This window comes from Homo sapiens, chromosome 2 (assembly GCF_000001405.40).
Source record: "Homo sapiens chromosome 2, GRCh38.p14 Primary Assembly".
NCBI lineage: Eukaryota > Metazoa > Chordata > Mammalia > Primates > Hominidae > Homo > Homo sapiens.
This window is the reverse complement of record NC_000002.12, coordinates 178686774-178707525: the sequence shown is the minus strand read 5'-3', so window position 1 is coordinate 178707525 and position 20752 is coordinate 178686774. Positions and strand designations below refer to the sequence as shown.

The following is a 20752-nucleotide window of genomic DNA, read 5'->3' as shown; positions in this document are numbered from 1 at the left end:
GTACAGACACCTCAAAAGTATTATGCAGCTCAAGCCAGCAACCACTCATGTTTATTTGCTTATTATGATTTCCCTAGAAATGGAATTAGATTTTTAGAAATATCAGTTGTTGCTCATCTGCAATTTGTAGGCTCCTTATTATAATTGAAATATTAGGTAATTTAACAGAAATAATGTCAATACAAAGTATCTGAAATTACTACAAGTTTACCACCCTATTTCTTGAACTTCTTTTCACCATATCCATTAAGATGTAATTAACGCAGTTCCAAAAATGATGCTATAATAATGCGATAGAAAGTAGGCTGTTGTGATACACCTGGAAAAAATAAAACCAAGTCTAAAAATATTGACACTACTAATATGATTATAGTTCAACCTTTGATAGCTATCATTAGCATAAATGTCTGAGAAGCTGCTTTATCTTCTGTAACCCACCCTTACATAGAAAGAGAATTCTGCAGTACTTACTTATCAAACTGCCAACCTCCTAAGGCTTATTTTACAAAGGGGGATATGTATTGTAATTCTGAGGTGATTGTAGTAACAAAACATGTAAATGTTTTTTCAGACAAACCAGCTGTGGCCCCAGCAACCAAGAAAGCTGCGGTAGATGGAAGACTCTTTTTTGTGTCAGAACCTCAGAGTATCAGAGTCGTAGAAAGTAAGTGCACTTCATGAGAAGTACATCTTCATCTATCTTATACCTTTTACTTATGATTTAATTTTGGAAGAACTGATTTTAGAAAATTAAATTTTTATTCACTTGTTTTCATTATTCCTTAGAAACCACTGCGACCTTCATTGCAAAAGTTGGAGGTGACCCAATCCCAAATGTTAAATGGACAAAAGGGAAGTGGAGACAGCTGAACCAAGGAGGTCGTGTTTTCATCCACCAAAAAGGCGATGAAGCAAAACTGGAGATTAGGGACACCACAAAAACTGATTCTGGGTTATACCGATGCGTGGCATTTAACGAACATGGTGAAATTGAAAGTAATGTTAACTTACAGGTGGATGAAAGGAAGAAACAAGAGAAAATTGAAGGCGATCTTAGAGCAATGCTGAAAAAGTGAGTTCAATAAAAACCACAAATCGTACAATCAGCCCTCCATATAAGTGGGTTCCGCATCCACAGTCAACCAGCCCCAGTGGAAAGTATTAAAGAACAAAAAATTTAAAAATACAAATAAACAATACAGCATAACAACCATTTACACAGCACTTACATTGTATTAGATATTATAAGTAATCTAGAGATGAAGCATATGGGAGGATGTGCATAGGTTACATGCAAATACTATGCCATTTTGCATCAGGGACTTGAGCATCTGGCCACAGGCCTCCTGAAGCCAATCTCCCAGGCATAGAGAGGGATGACTGTAATGTCCCATTCACAAAAAGAATCTCTCAAGAGTCATGGGCCATCCATCTCAAGATTCAGATTGTTAAAGAACATAGGCATATAGACATTTTCACAGAAGCAGATAAGCAAATACACAACATCTGGGTGTTCTTGTTTCATTAGAATCAATTTCCGAATTTAAGAGAAAGTTTTAAGAATGAGGTGAATGTCTATTAAGATTTTTAAACAAAAAGAAATGGCCTATAAAGAAACCCCAGTATTGTCTGTGCCTAGGTATGAAACTTTTTTTCTATATATGATTTCTTATGTTATGAATGGTTCTCTAAAACAACTGTTTTAAACATTTTCCATAATTATCATTCATTTCAATATGGTTCATTTTTCAACATAATTATTAAATTAAATCCACACTCAATTTCCACACATCGTTTCCGTGATATGTATACTATTCTATTATTAAAGTTTTCCATTGCTATTATTATTTTTTCTGATATTATAATTCATTAGCTAGGCTCTTTGGTTATAAAGTTTACAGAAATACTTCTATTATCCTTTCCCTTCTTAAAATTTTCATTCCTACATCTATATTTTATTACAATGGTCCTAATCCATCTGATCTTAATCGACTCCATCTCCAAACCCACATTTTTAAATTGTTTCACAGCTAACATGGTAAAATTAATATTTATTGAATAAAGAACATAGAAAACCTTAATGAAGTATATAATCTTTGAATGATGATAGACAATTAAAAATAAGTAGAAGACAGGTGTTTTATCCTTACTTTTTAAATTTTATTTAGGACTCCAATCTTAAAGAAAGGAGCTGGAGAAGAAGAGGAAATTGATATCATGGAACTTCTCAAAAATGTTGATCCTAAAGAATATGAAAAATATGCCCGCATGTATGGAATCACTGACTTCCGAGGTCTTCTTCAAGCATTTGAACTGCTCAAGCAAAGCCAAGAAGAAGAGACACATAGACTGGTATGCTCCTTCATATATAGCATCATGCTAAAAAAGTCACATTTAAAACATCTCACATATTCCCTTTGAATTACCAGAATCCTATAGTTATATGACGTCATTTAATATGACCTAACCAGCATCCAGAATGGAAGCTGAATATAGTCATGCGTCCTCTAAATCAAATTTTGTTTCATCTGTAATGCCTATCATTTTTGTTCTTCTCAGGAAATTGAGGAAATAGAGAGGTCAGAGAGGGACGAAAAGGAATTTGAGGAACTTGTATCATTTATTCAGCAAAGACTGTCACAGACAGAGGTAAAAAGAATTATGTTGATAATAAAATGAACAAGTTATTATTGAGTATTATTATAAGGGAAGGAGTAACAAATGTGTTTTAATTCTTTATTCTCCTAGCCTGTCACTCTGATCAAGGACATTGAAAATCAGACAGTTTTGAAAGATAATGATGCTGTCTTTGAAATTGACATTAAAATTAATTATCCAGAAATCAAGCTTTCGTGGTACAAAGGAACTGAAAAACTGGAACCCAGTGATAAATTTGAAATAAGCATTGATGGTGACCGACATACACTCAGAGTCAAAAACTGTCAACTTAAAGACCAGGGCAATTATCGATTGGTTTGTGGTCCACACATCGCTAGCGCTAAACTAACTGTAATTGGTAAGTTAGAAAAGGCTTATGAAATACTTGTGAGATTTAAATTACTGTTGAGCACATCTGCGTGTGATATTGAACAAAATGCGTGTTGTATCACATGAACAGAGCCTGCATGGGAACGGCATCTTCAGGATGTGACTCTGAAAGAAGGCCAGACTTGCACCATGACATGCCAATTTTCTGTACCAAATGTAAAATCTGAATGGTTCAGAAATGGCAGAATCCTTAAACCCCAAGGTAGACATAAAACAGAAGTGGAACACAAAGTCCATAAATTGACCATTGCAGATGTTCGAGCAGAAGACCAGGGTCAGTACACCTGCAAATATGAAGACCTTGAAACTTCAGCAGAACTCAGAATCGAAGGTGCGTGAAACACTATGGAGTCCTTGTGGGTACAGCATAGGTCAATGGCAAATGTTGTGCAGGACCCCTGCAACCCTACCTGTAGACACACACCAAAGTGGTCATGTGTTCTTATTTCCCAACACACGTTCTCATAGTATTCATCTCAAAGTTCATACAAAAGCACAAGGGAAATATTCAAATGAGTGTCAGTTCTTTTGCATCGTTCTTTTAGATTTTAATCTAGTCTAAGACATAATCTTTAACAGTTATTTCTGTCTAAAGTCTAAATTTCATGATTCTCATATCTAGGATTGTAGAAAGAAAGCTAGGAAAGGACAAGATCTCATAGATGTAAATCTGGAGGATCTTGGCTAGGAATTGATATTTTGTTTATAGGACTTAGTCTGACTTTCTCTGTACAAAATTATATAGATAACATAAACATGTCATGTGCAATTAGCAACTATTTTTCAAAAATATTTATTTCATTTTCAGATCATGTTTCAACCTTCTGAATCTCTGAAATTAAGTGAAATCTCAGAATTTAGGAGTAACAACATTCATTTCCTAATTGATTATACACATTTTCCAAAGACACCCTCAAACTGTATTGAGAAAAATTTTGGCTATGATAATAGCATCTGCTTTCAGCTATTGGTGCCCATTCGTAGTTGCTGAAACACAAATATATGACATTGGATTTACATAAGCATGTCAACTTTTCTGACTTACCTTACAATGAATATCAGTGACTGGTTGTATTTTAAATGGTTTTCAAATTAAAGGGCCAGCTGCAAGTACTAATTATTTTTTAAATAATTGATATTTTTAATATAATTCTTTAGTAAATAGAGCTCACCAGAGTACTGTGATTTCTAAGACTTTATGGTACTGTTATACATATAAGACCCTCCCCTCCAGCCTCTTCTAGAAAGCACTCCTGCCATCCACACACATACTTTGTTTGTGCCCATATGTACTTAGCAGATTTCTGAACTCTAAAATTTTTCTTTTTGAAATTTAGAAGTGCAGATTTCCGATTGCGTTTGAAATTATTTTACAGGAAAAGTTATACATATTAGATAAACAATTATAGATCCTGAATAGCAAAAATTATTTTACTGAGGCAAGAAAGAATTTCACAGAGGAATAAGTTGTAGAGTACAATCAAGTTTGTGTTCCCTAACACTTTTAAAATTTAATTTGACTTTGGGTCATTAGCTCTCTTTAGTATGTTCTTTATATAAATATTTTAAGAACTCACAATAATTTCTTTACACTTTGCTACATTCGACCAGCATGAATACACTTAAGAATTGGGATACTTTTTTGTTAGTGATGCAAAGAAGAGTGCATTTCTTCTCATTTTGGATTTTTGAACTTTTCTTGCTATTTTATAACTGGGTACAAAGATGGAGATTTTAAGTATCTGAGGTAAAAGCAAGTAAAAGAAATTCCTCTCTATATAATCTAACTTTGAACCCTCTTTGTACTTAAACAGCTGAACCAATTCAGTTTACAAAGCGCATACAGAACATCGTGGTGAGTGAGCATCAGTCTGCCACCTTTGAGTGTGAAGTGTCCTTTGATGATGCCATTGTAACATGGTACAAAGGACCAACAGAACTGACAGAGAGCCAGAAATACAACTTCAGGAATGATGGCCGCTGCCATTATATGACCATCCACAATGTGACCCCAGACGATGAAGGTGATTTCATTGACAGTTTTCCAGTGAATGTATAATTTAAGCCTCGTCTGTTTTCTGTATTTCTACCCTGTATGCGCTCATGCTCTCATTCTATCTAGAATGCTTTTTTAGAAAAGACAAGTGTAAATAAACACATACGTATATTGAAGTAAAGAAGTGTTATTTGCAACATATCAGAAAACAAAAGTTGGATGATTTTTCACCCTAGGTGTCTACTCGGTCATCGCTCGGCTGGAGCCAAGAGGTGAAGCAAGAAGCACGGCAGAGCTGTACCTAACGACGAAAGGTGAGGTAGCGCCATCAGAAAGCCACCCTGCCATCTTCGAAACACGTAGCCTACCTATACCATTCTGAACACAAAAATATCATTTTTTTTTTATTTTGCAGAAATCAAACTTGAGCTGAAGCCTCCTGGTAAGTTGTTTTGTAAAAATCAATCCTTGCTTACAATAAATTTGGCATAATTTTGTAAATCACAGAAGCCAAACTAAAATGTATAAGATATCTTTCTCTTTTGGGTAAAATATTTTTCAATAAAACTGTTATGCAGTAGAATTACTTTCAGTCAAATAATAAAATGTTAAACCTTGTGAGTCTGGCAAATTAGAGATAATAAGGTCTCACTCAGCTGATGCTAGAATCATGTTAAATAGAATAGCCACAGAATGAAACAAATTTTGACAGTGAACAAAACTTACCTGCGTGGTTGCATACAAAAGAATACTAATATTATTTTGTCTGTATATTAGATTCTGCCATTAGATATGCCTGACATATCTCAGGATCTAATAAATCAAACACACCTTAGTTTTCTAATAAATAGCTTGTTCTCAGTCTCTCTATGCTTATTACATGTCCCTTTCCAGATATTCCTGACTCCAGAGTTCCAATCCCAACCATGCCTATCAGAGCAGTGCCACCAGAAGGTAAGACCCAGAACCTCAACATCTGAGCTTGGAGCAGCAATATTCTAGCACTAGGAATCTGTACGAAATTTTATACCAGCGACCAAACTGCAGCAGAGTCAGAACAAAACCTTCCATGTCATATTCTTCAGTGAGCAATTAGAAATTAAAGTAAAAAAAAAAAGTAGTTCCAGTTATAAATAAATGCTACTTTTATTTGTTCCGACTGATGAATTCGTACTATAATACCTATGAAGTACTGAAAGAAATGCATGAGACTTTTCATTATATTTTACGCAAAATAAGAAACTAAAACATGTTACTAACGGCATTTATTTTCTTCAGAAATCCCTCCTGTGGTTGCTCCTCCTATCCCCCTTTTGCTACCAACACCCGAAGAAAAGAAACCACCACCAAAACGTATTGAAGGTATTATACCTCATCTACCTAGATGTCGAAATAAGAATTTCACTCTGCTGACCCGAAAAATGTTGCTTAATACAACGCATTGGCCCTCTAGTGGTCAAGAGGTGGAATTGCCTTTCAAAATGTAAATTACTTTCTCAAAGTATTAGCTAACTAAATGTGTAAGTTATGTGCTTAAAACTCTGAAAATCATCAAACAAAATACTATTTTGGTATTAAAATATTTTATTTTAATGAAATTACTGAAACATTAATAGAGAACTAATTTAATGTTTCATATTTTCCTAACTACTATGTATAACAAAAAGAATAATGGAACCAATTTCTAGTGCAGCTTATAGAAATAAACCATAGTAGTTTACAGCCAAATTGCAAATTATAGCTTGTGGCTTTTCTCAATTTATAGTATTAACTACTCTTAAAAATTTACTATTTTGTCACATAAAATATGATTTAGAATACTTATGAAATATTTGACTTCTTTTGTACCTAAGGCATGATCTCACCAATAAAGAGATCTTAAGTGTTCCAAGGAATTGCTCCTCTCAAATACTCAGTAGAGAAGTTGTAGTATTTGTGTCCCAAAGCTTCTCAACTAAATTAGACAACAGATTTCCTGGGACTTTCTGGAGTTATAGGGAGTTCAGAAATGCTGTCAGAATTCTCCCAGCATGGTCAGAAAAAATTCTGTATGTCAAAATCACATTTTTCTATAGCTAAGTCACTACTACTGTATTAGATTCAAGGGGTGGAAATGGTAGGCCCTTAACACCCGCTATAATTGGCATTAAACGCTTGACCTATTTTTCAGCCAGCCTTAGAGGAAATTCAATTAGAAACTTCCAATTTTGTGACTAATGCAACCTCATTAACAAAGAGAAGCATTTTTATGATTCATACGAACATAAGCATTTTATCTAGCTGTGAGAACAGAGAGGAACAAGAATCAACAATCATAAATTGGATTTCCATTTCTATTTCTGTTGTCAAAAATAATAACTTATGTTAATGAATGATTTGTTCTTTGACTGGTAGTATCAACATGGCTAAGTTTGGTACTCACTGTGAAACTTGAGAAGTTAAATAATGTTTTAAAAATTAAAAAAGAGGCCTGGCGCGGTGGCTCACGCTTGTAATCCCAGCACTTTGGGAGGCCGAGGTGGGCGGATCACGAGGTCAGGAGATCGAGACCACGATGAAACCGCGTCTCTACTAAAAATACAAAAAATTAGCCGGGCGTGGTGGTGGGCACCTGTAGTCCCAGCTACTCAGAGAGGCTGAGGCAGGAGAATGGCGTGAACCCGGGAGGCGGAGCTTGCAATGAGCCGAGATCGAGCCACTGCACTCCAGCCTGGGTGACAGAGTGAGACTCCGTCTCAAAAAAAAAAAAAAAAAAAAATTAAAAAAGAGTGGGCTGGGCGCGGTGGCTCACGCCTGTAATCCCAGCACTTTGGGAGGCCGAGGCGGGCGGATCACAAGGTCAGGAGATCGAGACCATCTTGGCTAACACGGTGAAACCCCGTCTCTACTAAAAATACAAAAAATTAGCCGGGCGCGGTGGCGGGCGCCTGTAGTCCCAGCTACTCGGGAGGCTGAGGCAGGAGAATGGTGTGGACCTGGGAGGCGGAGCTTGCAGTGAGCCGAGATTGCGCCACTGCAATCCGGCCTGGGCTAAACAGCGGGACTCCGTCTCAAAAAAAAAAAAAAAAAAAAAAAAAAAAAAAAAAAAAAAAAAAAAAGAGTGTTATTTATTCATGAATACAAAAGGCCATAATCAAGTATGATTAGGAACCGTGGTTAAGGTATAACAGCTGCACAACAAAGGACTTTAAACCCACTTGTTACTCTTCCTCCTAACATATTTGTGTTCGTCCCTAAGGATGAAGCAAAGATGAAAATGTGTACTTTACTATTTATGATATCACTTAGATTCACACTCCATGTTCTGAAAACTTTAACTCTCAGCAGACATAAAATCAGTGAAGATGTAAGATCACAGTACATTTTCTATATCCCTCCAAAACAATTTTTTTGCATCTAGTCCTAGATCTTTCCAAAACAAATATCTTGTAGTAATATGCAGAATCTCGCTACTATCAACATATGGAAAAATAAAATATTTCAATAAAATTCCTAGTTTCCTGAAAGCATTTTAGTTACTTACACCAGAAATATTTTTTCTTTTTTTTTCTTTTTTTTTTTTTTTAGTTACCAAAAAGGCTGTGAAGAAAGATGCCAAAAAAGTTGTTGCAAAGCCCAAAGAGATGACACCACGTGAAGGTATTATAATTAATCAAAAAGCAGTCTTAACACTTTTTTCTTGGCCAAAACTTTTAAATTCTAAACAGTGGAGGGTGAAGGAAGGGTAAGAGTTTGCAATCACAAAATGGTACCTCTCCCTTCACTCACTTTCGCCCTCGTCTTTGACTCAGTCCTCACTCTCTCAACTCCTTTTTTCCCCCTTTTCTCTTTCCTGTCCTCCTGAGCCCCTGGGAACCAATGACAACACCAGTGTATTCTGGTTATTTCTGGATGAAAATTTAAAGAAGGTCTTGCCCAGAAATCCAACAGCTATTCTTTTTTTTTCTTTTTTATTTTATTGTAAATTGACTATTTACTATTGTGTATATATTTATGGGGTACAAAGTGATGTTATGATCTGTGAATACAATATGGAATAATTAAATCAAGCCAATTAACATATCCATCACCTCAAATACTTAACATTTTTGTGGTGAGAATATTTGAAATTTACTCTTAGCGATTTTGAAATGTACAGTACACTATTATTAACTATATTCACCACTCTGTGCAACAGATCTCAAGAAAAGCCATGTTTCTTCTGTCTAAGATTTTGTACCCTTTGACCAACATTTCCCCATTCCCTCAAATCCCCAGCCTCTGTAACCATCATTCTACTCTTTATGAATTCAACTTTTTTAGTTCCACATCTAAGTGAGAACTTACAGTCTTTGTCTTTCTGTGCCTGGCTTATTTCACTTAGCATAATCTCCAGTTCTATCCATGTTGTCACAAATGACAAAATTCCCTTTTTTTATAAGGCTGAATAGTATTCCATTGTGTATTTATATACCACCTTTTCCTTATGTATTCATCCATTGATGGACACTTAGGGTGTTTCCATAACTTGGTCTTTGTGAATAATGCTGCAATGAACATGGAAGTACCCAACAGCTGGTCTTGATAAAGTCACATCAATGTAAGATCAAGGGTTGCTGCTAATTTTAAGAGGTTGCTGCAACCCACCTCAGTATCTTTCCTGATTTAGGTGATCTAAATATCAATATTTGAAGAAAAAATACTTTATGAAGGAGGATCAATTCAAATCACTTTAACTTTCAATATATCCTCGAAGATTTTTAGGAAAACAGTTGGATAACTAAATTTAAACAAATAGTTTTAACTCATTTGACTAAGATTAGAGTACAGCAACCTCCATAAAGAAGGAAAATATGGAAACACAAGGCATCATTCATCATTCAGACTTTTCTGAGTGGTCATTTGTGAAACATCATGGAATAAGAGGACACTCAAAAAGCATGGATATTTCATGAACTTCATAGTTAATAATTGAAAAAGTCTAATGTGTTATTTTTAGCATTGGACATATTAAACATTCTCTTCATGCTTAATGTTAACTTATTAGAAATCAATCTAAACTAGAACCAATTTAAATGATCTTAAATCAATCTAAACTAGAATCAAACTTTGGCCTTTTGCATGTTTGATTTTTGTTAATATGGCCTTGCATAGCATTTCTAATGAGCTAGATTTGGAAATTATAGAAGCATTATTATGATTCCTGGAAGGGCTGGTGTATGAGTAGTAGTCATAGCTCCTACAAACAACTAACAATGATGTGGAGGATTAGTAAACATTAATAATAATGTAATCTAAAAATAAACACACATTTTTATGTTTTTAAACTCCCAGAGATTGTCAAGAAGCCTCCACCTCCTACTACCTTAATTCCAGCAAAAGGTAAATAAAGATAAATTATTTTTATTCTGTTTATTCCTGAGATTTGCACTTCTGCTAACTATTCTTATTTTAAATATTAGGCTTCCAACTTATTGAAAGTTGTGGAGTCTCCTCTGCTGTGTTAAATTTAGCATTAGAAATGATGGCTATTTCATATTGCCCCTTTCCCAGGAAAACAAACCCAGGCAGATGTTTATGCTGCCTCTGTGCAATGGTCTCAGAGAAAGAAGAAGTGAGGGCTAGAAAGGAAGGGCCATTCCTTATTTTTTTATTGTAGTTAACACAAATGTTAAGAGTCATATAAATAATGAGAGCCCTTAAGAACTTTAAAAATCTGTTATCTAAAAGTACCTAATTAACTTGGTTACATAATTTTAAATGTTGTTTTTATGAAACTGACTAAGGGATCATATGCAATAGTCAAAAACCTAGGTTTAAAATTAGAAATGTTTTTGAAATAATAATCAGAACTTTTTAAAAAGGTTAACTGTATAAATATGAAATATAAATTCCATGAACTTATCGAATATTAAAACTATTCCACTGGAAGAAACTAGGGGTTCTGCAAACTGGAGCTCTCATGGAATAATAGAAGGTGTGTCCATTTGATAATATTTATTGAATCCATTTTTTCATACTGGAAAAATCCTCAAATCAAGAGTAGAATGCATCTTGATACTCTACTATGTTCCATAGTCAAAAATTTAAATGGAACCAATACAAAAAAAAAAAACAAATTATCAATAAAATAGATCTGAAATACTGATGTTGTTTAACTAGGTAGATTTTTGTTTAGTGAAGCAGTTGGATGGATAGAATTAATATGCTAATAGTATCTTTATCTATTTTAGCTCCTGAAATCATTGATGTATCCTCTAAAGCTGAAGAAGTAAAAATAATGACTATAACCAGAAAGAAAGAGGTTCAGAAAGAAAAAGAAGCTGTGTATGAGAAAAAGCAAGCAGTCCACAAGGAGAAGAGAGTCTTCATTGAATCTTTCGAAGAACCTTATGACGAACTGGAGGTAGAACCATACACAGAGCCATTTGAACAACCTTATTATGAAGAACCAGATGAAGACTATGAAGAGATTAAGGTAGAAGCTAAAAAAGAAGTTCACGAGGAATGGGAAGAAGATTTTGAAGAAGGGCAAGAATACTATGAAAGGGAAGAAGGCTATGACGAAGGGGAGGAAGAGTGGGAAGAGGCTTACCAAGAAAGGGAAGTAATTCAAGTTCAAAAGGAGGTCTATGAAGGTATGTATAAACTGAATGACTTGTTTCCCTCTTTTCTTCATTTTTGCTCAGTTCATTAAATTTTCAATGCTATGAACCTGATTTGCAGTTTATGTGAAATAGTTAAAATGATCTTAGATTTTTTTAAGGTTAGAAATCTTTTAAAAGTTATTTTCCTCAGAGTTACTTTCATGCTTTGACATTACAAGCTAAATCATTTAGTCTTATTACTAACACTAAATTCCAAGTGCTAATTTCTAATGCAGAAGTTCAAGTTTTACTTTTACTGCCTTGTTGCATCTCTGCTTGATCCTGCTTCAAATCCTAGCACTAAGAATTGTGTTGGTAATAACGATCCCAAATATAATACTTCACACGATTATATATTATCCTTACCTTATCTCATTTGCAATTAACAACCTAAGAGAACTTACCTATTTAAGCATCCCTTCTTATTCCTGTGTTTTTATTTCAGAATCACATGAGAGAAAAGTTCCAGCCAAAGTACCTGAAAAGAAAGCACCACCACCTCCTAAAGGTAAGTAATTAGAAATATTTAAATAGACTAGAGCATCAACATCATTATCATGGCTTGTTTGGCAGCAATGTATAAATCAGCAGTTCAATCCAATAGGCACAACTTCTTCTCTAAGCTTTATTGTGAATGATTTTTTTTTCTTAAAATTTCTATCTAATTGATTTCATTAAAAAATCAAAAGATGATAAAAATTGTAATGGTAAACTTAAATATAACCAAAATATGTTAAGTACAGAAACTTGTACCCAGAGTTCAAAGTTGTGCGTAAAGGTCAAAGAAAAAAAAACCGAACTCATCTCTCTCTTTAAAAAATGATACATGTATCTGCATATACACTTATAGGTGTGTATAAACACATATACACAGAGAGAGAGAGATAGAGAGAGAGAGAATTTTAATAGGAATTCTAAAAGTACTGCAATTTCTCTAAAATGCTTGCAGTTATAAAGAAGCCAGTAATTGAAAAAATTGAAAAGACTTCTCGAAGAATGGAGGAAGAAAAAGTTCAAGTCACCAAAGGTATTATTTAAAACATTCCTAGCACCCATGTACACAAGTAATATGTTTACTGATCTATACTCACATTAGTTATTTATATAATCAAATACTTTTAAATTTTGTGCAAAGCAATATTCTTCAAAATACAAATATATTTGTACATATTTTTAAAGTACCTGAAGTTTCAAAGAAGATTGTTCCACAAAAACCTTCCCGGACTCCAGTACAGGAAGAAGTTATTGAAGTGAAAGGTATACATCTTTGTGTTTCAGCTACAAGTTCAAAATTTTTTTATTTATGTGTATGGACATGTGTACATATATTGCTAAGTAACTCACAAATCTGAAACGACCAAAAACAGCACATTTTTACATAATACAAATTTTATGTTGAGTTGCACATATGTTTAATTTAAATAGTAACATTATCTACTTTGTTTCTAGTTCTGCTTAAAAATTACATTTTTTTATTATAAAGAAGGTTTGTGTTTAATTAGTAGTTTGCTAACTTCACTATGCAATGCATTCCATTGCATATAATATTCCCTGTCCTCTTATTTATAGAAATAGACCCTAACAGATTTGGAAAAGCACAACATTGTGTGTGAAGAAGTTGTGTCTATTTGATTCTCATTTAAGAATGTTTGATGAAGGCTGCATGCATTGTTTGTCCCTATAGATCAAAACATGATTTGTTTTCTTGTCAATACTGAATTTGTTCTCAAGCTACCATATTAACCCACTCATTCTGTGTCTAAATACTTGAGTATAAAATCCATGTGTTTGATCTGATGTCTTGTACTAAAAAAAAGGAATACTAATGTGAAATACTCTCTTTAAAGTACCAGCTGTGCATACAAAGAAGATGGTTATTTCAGAAGAAAAGATGTTCTTTGCTTCTCACACAGAGGAGGAGGTGTCAGTCACAGGTATAAGGCAAACTGGAATGTGGGGGCTCAAATGGAAGGGTTTTAGGCAGATTTTTATCCCTCTTGTTGTCTAATTTGTGATCGTGTAGACATTTCTGTCTCCTTGTAAATTCTGTCATCTTTTTCATTTCATGTTTGTCTCTGTTTTCATTTTTATTTTAATGTTCTTTGTAAATTACAATTACCACCCACAACATGGCATATCAGTAATTAAAATGTACATTTTTTTAAGTCCCCGAGGTACAAAAGGAAATTGTTACTGAAGAGAAAATTCACGTTGCCATTTCCAAAAGGGTTGAACCACCACCTAAAGGTATTAGTAATTCATTCTAAGTTTAAACTCTTTTAATAAAAATTAGTACAAATACCATAGTAAAACATTTATGTTAGTATTAAATAATAGATTTAGTCACAGTGTGCATACCTATAGCCACTATGTACAAAGGATGTGATGGGGGACGGGAAGAACCATGAGGAAGGCACAGGGGGAAAAAAGTGAAAATTATGGGAGGCTCCATTCCCTGCTTCAGAGAGTTTGCAATCTCGTAACCTGTTACTTGGAAATACAGTGTCCTGGAGCCAGTTCATGCTAGCTCACCAGAGCCTATGGTTACATTTTCAGGAATTTTGCCAGTCAGTAGTTTAACACCACCATTATTAAAAATTAGATTATGTAAATTTACAGTCCAATAAAGTATATTTTTAAATATTAATAAATACTCAAAACTCCTATTTTACTGCATTTTGTTCTTATCTGTGTTTCTGAGATTGTTTCCATCTTTGTGTCTGTGTGGTGGAAATGCCATATAATGTACTACTGCACATCTCTTTCCAACTCCAGGACAATGACATCACCTTGACAGCCAGGGTGGGAGGGAGTGTTTATACCACCTTGGAAATCGGAAATCTGCAAGCACTATAGATCAAGGCTCCACCCCCTCCATCCCACCCAAATTGTTAAACATTTAAGACACAAAAAAATCTAATGCAATTGTATTTATGAAACTGCTTTATAAAAGTAAAGGTTACAAAAAAAAAAACTAACTTCATAGTTATCGATGTTCATAAAAAGCTGGTTTCTGAGGAACTGACACAGGCACCTCCGAGGGAGGATTGCTCCTACCTGTTCCTGACAAAGTAGAGGCTTCTGCAGTTAAAGGTGACAGCAGTCACATTTTCTAATTAGCCATTCAGCCATCTTCATTTACTCTCATTTCTAAAGCATAATTTTCTTGCATTCAGTTGGTATAAAAAGGGAATCTCTATTTAATTCTAAGTCTTACAACAACATATGCCTTGTCAAATGCACACTTTCTCAAAAATGGCACTTTTCTTTTAAAGTCCCTGAGCTACCTGAGAAACCAGCTCCAGAAGAAGTGGCCCCTGTTCCTATCCCTAAAAAAGTGGAGCCCCCAGCACCAAAAGGTAGAATAATATTTGTGAAAAAAATAATTCTTAGCATCCATCTTGTATCTTTTTCTATAAGATCTGTGTATTAACAAAATAGCATCTGTAAACCATCTATAATATATTTAATTCTGTGTATATTGATTTCATTTATTTGTGGTGATGTGTTATACAAGTATTGGTAACATTTCTAAACTCCAGATCACGCTAACTGGGTCTTTGTCTGCTTGTGTAATGTATGTAATGTCTATATGGTGTTGAGGTATTTAGCTTTCATTTCTACCACAAGTAGGCATATTTAAATTACTTCCTAATTCTCACACTGTTAGTGAAGATTTATGCTTTAATGTAATCTTAGATGTCTCAGAAGGTGACTAGAATATTCCACATTATTTCAACAATTGTATCTTTAAAGTTCCTGAGGTTCCCAAGAAACCCGTGCCAGAGGAGAAAAAGCCAGTTCCTGTGCCTAAGAAGGAACCTGCTGCTCCCCCAAAAGGTACGCCAGAGCCAATGATGGGGAGACTCTTTGCTCCAAGTGCCAGCCTTTTGCTTTCTACGATCTTCATATGTACTATGCTGCCTTTGTCTTTTGTCTCTTTTACATTCTTCTTGTGTTTTTACTGTTTGTCAGCTTCCGTGCCATGCTCTTGACATACTTTATTTATTATACTGAATATTCCTAAGACATCACCAAAAAGTATTGTTAAAGGAAGTAACTATGTCAAACTGCTATCTTACATTTTTAATATCTTCCCTCTTTTAGAGAAAGAGGAAATGTTTGTGAAACTTGTTTTCTACTGACATGTTTCTAGGAAAAAACCTTTCATCCTTCATAAATGTAACTTTTTCTTAATAAAAGCAGTTTCATGCATTATGAAGAGGTGGAGACAGGCAATGACAACTGGAGAGTGTCTGGCAGAACTGAATGTTAATTACATAAAGACGTACATAGTACCACGCTTCTTAAAAGTCAATAGTGGCGAGTCTTCAATAGTGGGGAACATACAGATTTTTTGAAGTTTACTTTCACCATTTTCTTGAGACCTTAACTGAGCTTCAGTATTTGCCATAAATGTTTCCGTTATCTAATTAGCTAGTCAAAGTACCTTTCACAGAGGTATGTTTGAATGAAAATGTGCTGCTGTGGTATATCACAAATCCCTTGCTTTGGTTTGTTTGGGATTTTTTTGGCGATAAAAGGCACTATCTTATTGAAGCACTGAAGCTACAATTGCACGCATCCATTCAGTTATAGAGAGACTCAGCAAGAATTCAACATTATCCAATTTAGGAGAAACCAGACCTAACTAAAATAGTACATTTTGAATAGTGTTCCCTTGGCCTGACTTTGCAATGTTTCTATTTTCTTCCTGAATCAAATATGCTTCTCTCTTTCTCAAACTCTTGGCTCTTTCAAAATTCTTTTGATTATCTAACCATTAAATACAAAGGTCATGTTAGTAAAACCAATACTAATACTAAAGCTACTTGAGACAGATCGTCTTAGATAAATTAAATCCATTGTTATTATGTACTACATTTCCCCATACAAAGCATAAAGAACCTTTTCTATATACTATCTGAACATTCTTGACTGTTTGTGTAATCACTAATTCGTTTTCAGCAAAGTCATATATGTCTTCTAAAGGAGACACAGAGGCATCTCTCATTTACTCATAAAAACAAATACACATAGTATAATAGCACGTATATATATATAAATACTGCATGTATATATAGCATAACATATACATATATAAATTAACAGCTATATAATTGCACCAAAATATTACAAATGCACGTGCAGAGGTGCAGGGATTCACAAAAGCTGCCAATATTGTATTTAAAATGAGAACAATTATTGCCAATAATGCATGCTGTTAAAATTCATCTTCCAATTAAAAAGTCAACATTATCCATTCTTAGAATAGATAAATCAAATACACTGTAAACATTTTTTAGGTTGAAAACCCTGTTCAAAACTCTAGAGCCCCTTAGAAAAAAAAAGCACAAATACACATACCCACAAAATTCTGCACACAAAGCTCTGTAAAGTCATTAACACATGGGTATCAGATTGAGAGACCTACTCTAGAGTGTTTCCTGAGTTTTGAATTCACTACAGGCACACCCCCCAAAAATGAGAGGAGAAATGTGGGGAAGAGAAGTAAGTTACACATATTCAACTATTCTAAGACTTCTTAGTCTTAGTCTAAAATAGTCTTAGATAAACTAAAGCCATTGTTATTAAGTACTCCATTTCTCAATACAAAGCGTAAAGAAGTTTTCTATATACCATATCCACATTCTTGATTGTTTGTGTCATCACTAATTTGTTTTTAGCAAGGTCATACAATATATAAAGGATGAATTCTGTGCACAACTTTGTTACATAACTCATTTTTGCCTAAATGCCTCTAAAACATTATTTGTGATATTTATCACATTGTGATCCTTGGAATAGTATAGTTAGTTTAATTTTCTGGATAATTTTGCTGATGCATAGATAATCCATAACAACATTAATGTACTACATAAAGATTTGTGCATGTGCCTATGTTCTTTCATAAAAGTGATATATGTCTGAACTAACATTGTGTTTCAAAAACTTTAAGTCCCAGAGGTGCCAAAGAAACCTGTCCCTGAAGAAAAGATTCCCGTTCCTGTTGCAAAGAAAAAGGAAGCTCCCCCAGCTAAAGGTACAGTGGCTTTCGACGTAAAGCCCTATCTTTTATCTTTGATACAAAATATGTTGTGTTTAATTATCTGTTCATTGAGTTAGTTTAATTCTAAATGAATGTTTTGTGGTGAGAACTGAACAAAAGTGTCTGTCCACCCGTCTGCTTTCTTAAAAAAAATAACTGTGCATAGCTACTTTAGAAAATATAAAGTCAATTCTAAAAATGTCTCTTCAAGTTCCTGAAGTACAGAAGGGAGTTGTGACAGAAGAAAAAATAACCATTGTAACTCAAAGAGAGGAATCTCCACCACCAGCAGGTACTTAATCCCATCTCCATGAAATAACCTTGTCTTTCCTTCAAGCCTCTTTAATTGCATGTCTTCTTTAATTGCCACTTCTATGTTGCTCATTTATTTGGCCTTTTTGACAAATTTTAAAATTCAATACTATCCTTTAAGTGCCAGAAATACCAAAGAAGAAAGTTCCTGAAGAAAGGAAACCTGTTCCTCGGAAGGAGGAAGAAGTTCCACCACCACCAAAAGGTATTGTTTCTCCATCTTCCCAAGAACTGTCTTTATGTTCCAGTGATTTTGTTAGTTTTGTGATATGAGTGCACTGTGGGTGTATTTCTTTGTTTTGCACTGGGCTTCAATGAGATCACATTAAATTTCTAAAAGTGCATAATGTCTCTAAAGTGCCAGCTCTGCCTAAGAAACCCGTCCCAGAGGAGAAAGTTGCAGTGCCAGTTCCTGTCGCTAAGAAAGCTCCTCCTCCCCGAGGTAGGATTTGCCTCAATCCTCTGACAAAAAAAAAAAAAAAAAAAAAAAATCTTCGAGTGTGTTAAATTCTTGCTTTTTCCATCTGGTCTGTGCTTATACTGATCCATTGTCTCACTTGCAGTGAAACTTTTGTGTTTATGTCCTTGTGATATGTAACTTGTTTTCCCATTTTGCTAGTCAAAGTGGTGTACTGTGCAACTCTTCCCCAAATTCTAGAAAGTGAGAATTGTTAAAATTCTTGATTTTAAACTTCAACTTTAACACTTTCTTAAAGCTGAAGTCTCTAAGAAAACTGTTGTAGAAGAAAAGAGATTTGTTGCTGAAGAAAAACTATCCTTCGCAGTTCCTCAAAGAGTGGAAGTCACGCGGCACGAAGGTATATAATCGGAAGTCAGGGGATAAATGAGTTTGTGTGTGTTTCCTCAAAGTCTCTTCTTCTTCCACATGTGATTGTTTACTTTAGAACATGTCCTCATCAGTTATTTCTCCTTATGTTGGTATTAGAATGTGTCTACCTTTTGTAGCCTTCTGGGACTGAGTCTTTTGTGTCTATGTTGGCCTTGAATCATTCGAAGGAAGTGGATGAGTCCCGAAAATGTTATAATTTTGAAAGTGGCCACACTTGGACATAACTCAAGTATCATTCTCAGTCTTGGGCTGTACTTGCCCTCATCTTAAATTAGCTTCCTCCTTCTTATAGTGAGGAAGTACCATGAAGCTATGTCCTAAGCAGATAGAAGAACAGTTATCCATCTGTAGTGACCACATGGCTGTATATACATCTGTATCTCAGCAGGCTGAATTTAAATGAAACCTTATCTTTTAAAGTATCTGCAGAGGAGGAATGGAGTTACTCAGAAGAGGAGGAAGGTGTGTCCATTTCAGTTTATAGAGAAGAAGAAAGAGAGGAGGAGGAAGAAGCAGAGGTTACAGAATATGAAGGTAAACAATGCAAATAAGCTAGAGATGATCTGGGGTTTTGATGAGGTGTTTTCTTTCACAAATTGTCTACAGACCAATGAAAAGAGACAGAAAAAAGTGACACAAATTCAGTGAACATCTACCAGTCTCATTAAATGAATATTTTGATCAAAACACAAGATTCAGGAGGATTATACTAGATTAGAGAAATCCAGTGTATTTCTTCTGCATCCCTTCTTACTTGCCTACATAGAATAAAAGAGGCTTCATATTTATATATAATTAATCAGGGCAGGTATCTCCATATACATATATCCTTTCATTAAACAGGACTTGGCTTCAGCATGGTGGGCTGGCATAAGCTTTACCTTAGTAGCCTAATGCCTAATTGGTGTTTCTCAAACATTGCTTGTACCACAATCCACAGACAGAAATATATTTTATATTATAATCCTTTAATTTTTTTATTCTAGGCATTTAAAAAATACAAGTTATAATCCATTAAGTCAATTGCAGAAGTCACTATAATGTCTTAAAATGTTTTAAAATGAGCAAGAAAATATATTACCTCATTACATTCCAGGAGTCAATGCCATATTTGTGAGTCTGAAGCCCTGAACACATAAGGCTTTCCTGTATTTTACATATGGAGAAAACCATTGTGTTATATATGGGATCAGACTGACTTGTTACTCAGATCTTTTCATACCTATAATGCTAATTATCTATAGTTTCTTAAGGACAGAACCAACAAACTATTCCATTGGGATATTTTTTCAATGAATTAAGGCAGCACCAGGTTTCCAACTAAAATCCAGCATTCTGGCTAGAGCCATGTGGCCAAAAGAACTTTCCTAAGAAAGTTCCTAAGGTCTGCTTTTAAAGAGAAATCAATAAGCTCCTTAACCAAACTAACTCTCTCCCCAGTGAGAAGATGAGTAGAATTGAAGTACATTTAGATGTCCCAAGTATCTGTTTTTATCTGTCTAATAAAAGATGGCACACCATGCCCCTTTTTTCACTTGGAACAAAAGCCCATGTAAAAATCCAAGGTGCCATAGTCTTAGTGGAATGCCTTGGAATAGGCCAAGATGGGACATGACTCCCAGGAGGAAATCCATTAACTCTGTTGTGCTTCCTGGAAGAGGCCATGATGGTGGACATAAGTCAGGAAGCTGGTAGATTTGAAGACGACTCCATCTTTTCTAAAAGTGTTTGTAAAACCAAACATAGTCTGATTTCAACTTTTGACACTATAAACTTCCTGTAGTACTCCAGACTCTAGTTAAAAGGAGAAACACTGTGATTATTTTTATGTTCTCATTATGCCCCAAAGATGGGTGGCTTGTTAGGTTTAC

The 20752-nt window shown here is 34.6% G+C and overlaps 1 protein-coding gene and 2 long non-coding RNA genes across 22 annotated transcripts in view; 1 reads left to right on the top strand and 2 right to left on the bottom strand.

Annotated features, from left to right (window-relative positions):
• Positions 1–20752, top strand: part of TTN (titin) — a 281435-nt gene that overhangs the window by 99898 nt on the left and 160785 nt on the right. For 11 of the 20 annotated variants that reach the window (NM_133378.4, XM_017004821.1, NM_001256850.1 and 8 more), the window contains 27 exons: positions 572–664; positions 787–1072; positions 2169–2352; positions 2560–2649; positions 2749–3016; positions 3119–3379; positions 4863–5072; positions 5281–5358; positions 5460–5486; positions 5939–5998; positions 6323–6406; positions 8612–8683; positions 10358–10405; positions 11257–11661; positions 12116–12178; positions 12620–12697; positions 12850–12927; positions 13518–13604; positions 13837–13917; positions 14946–15029; positions 15427–15510; positions 17630–17713; positions 17931–18011; positions 18153–18236; positions 18390–18473; positions 18748–18849; positions 19302–19415. The exons of 5 other annotated variants lie outside the window; for them this stretch is intronic. In NM_133378.4, coding sequence (NP_596869.4) covers positions 572–664; positions 787–1072; positions 2169–2352; positions 2560–2649; positions 2749–3016; positions 3119–3379; positions 4863–5072; positions 5281–5358; positions 5460–5486; positions 5939–5998; positions 6323–6406; positions 8612–8683; positions 10358–10405; positions 11257–11661; positions 12116–12178; positions 12620–12697; positions 12850–12927; positions 13518–13604; positions 13837–13917; positions 14946–15029; positions 15427–15510; positions 17630–17713; positions 17931–18011; positions 18153–18236; positions 18390–18473; positions 18748–18849; positions 19302–19415 — 3270 coding nt within the window. The remainder of the gene's footprint in view (positions 1–571; positions 665–786; positions 1073–2168; positions 2353–2559; positions 2650–2748; positions 3017–3118; positions 3380–4862; positions 5073–5280; positions 5359–5459; positions 5487–5938; positions 5999–6322; positions 6407–8611; positions 8684–10357; positions 10406–11256; positions 11662–12115; positions 12179–12619; positions 12698–12849; positions 12928–13517; positions 13605–13836; positions 13918–14945; positions 15030–15426; positions 15511–17629; positions 17714–17930; positions 18012–18152; positions 18237–18389; positions 18474–18747; positions 18850–19301; positions 19416–20752) is intronic. 4 more of the 20 variants (XM_024453098.1, XM_024453097.1, XM_017004822.1 and 1 more) reach the window with 3 other exon arrangements.
• LOC124906100 (uncharacterized) overlaps positions 1–20752 on the bottom strand; it is a 71929-nt gene that overhangs the window by 6720 nt on the left and 44457 nt on the right. The window lies entirely within an intron of this gene.
• LOC124907912 (uncharacterized) lies at positions 19–19388 on the bottom strand. The gene is made up of 2 exons (XR_007087321.1): positions 12075–19388; positions 19–319 (listed from the first exon to the last, which is right to left on the bottom strand). It is a non-coding gene; the product is annotated as an uncharacterized LOC124907912 (long non-coding RNA).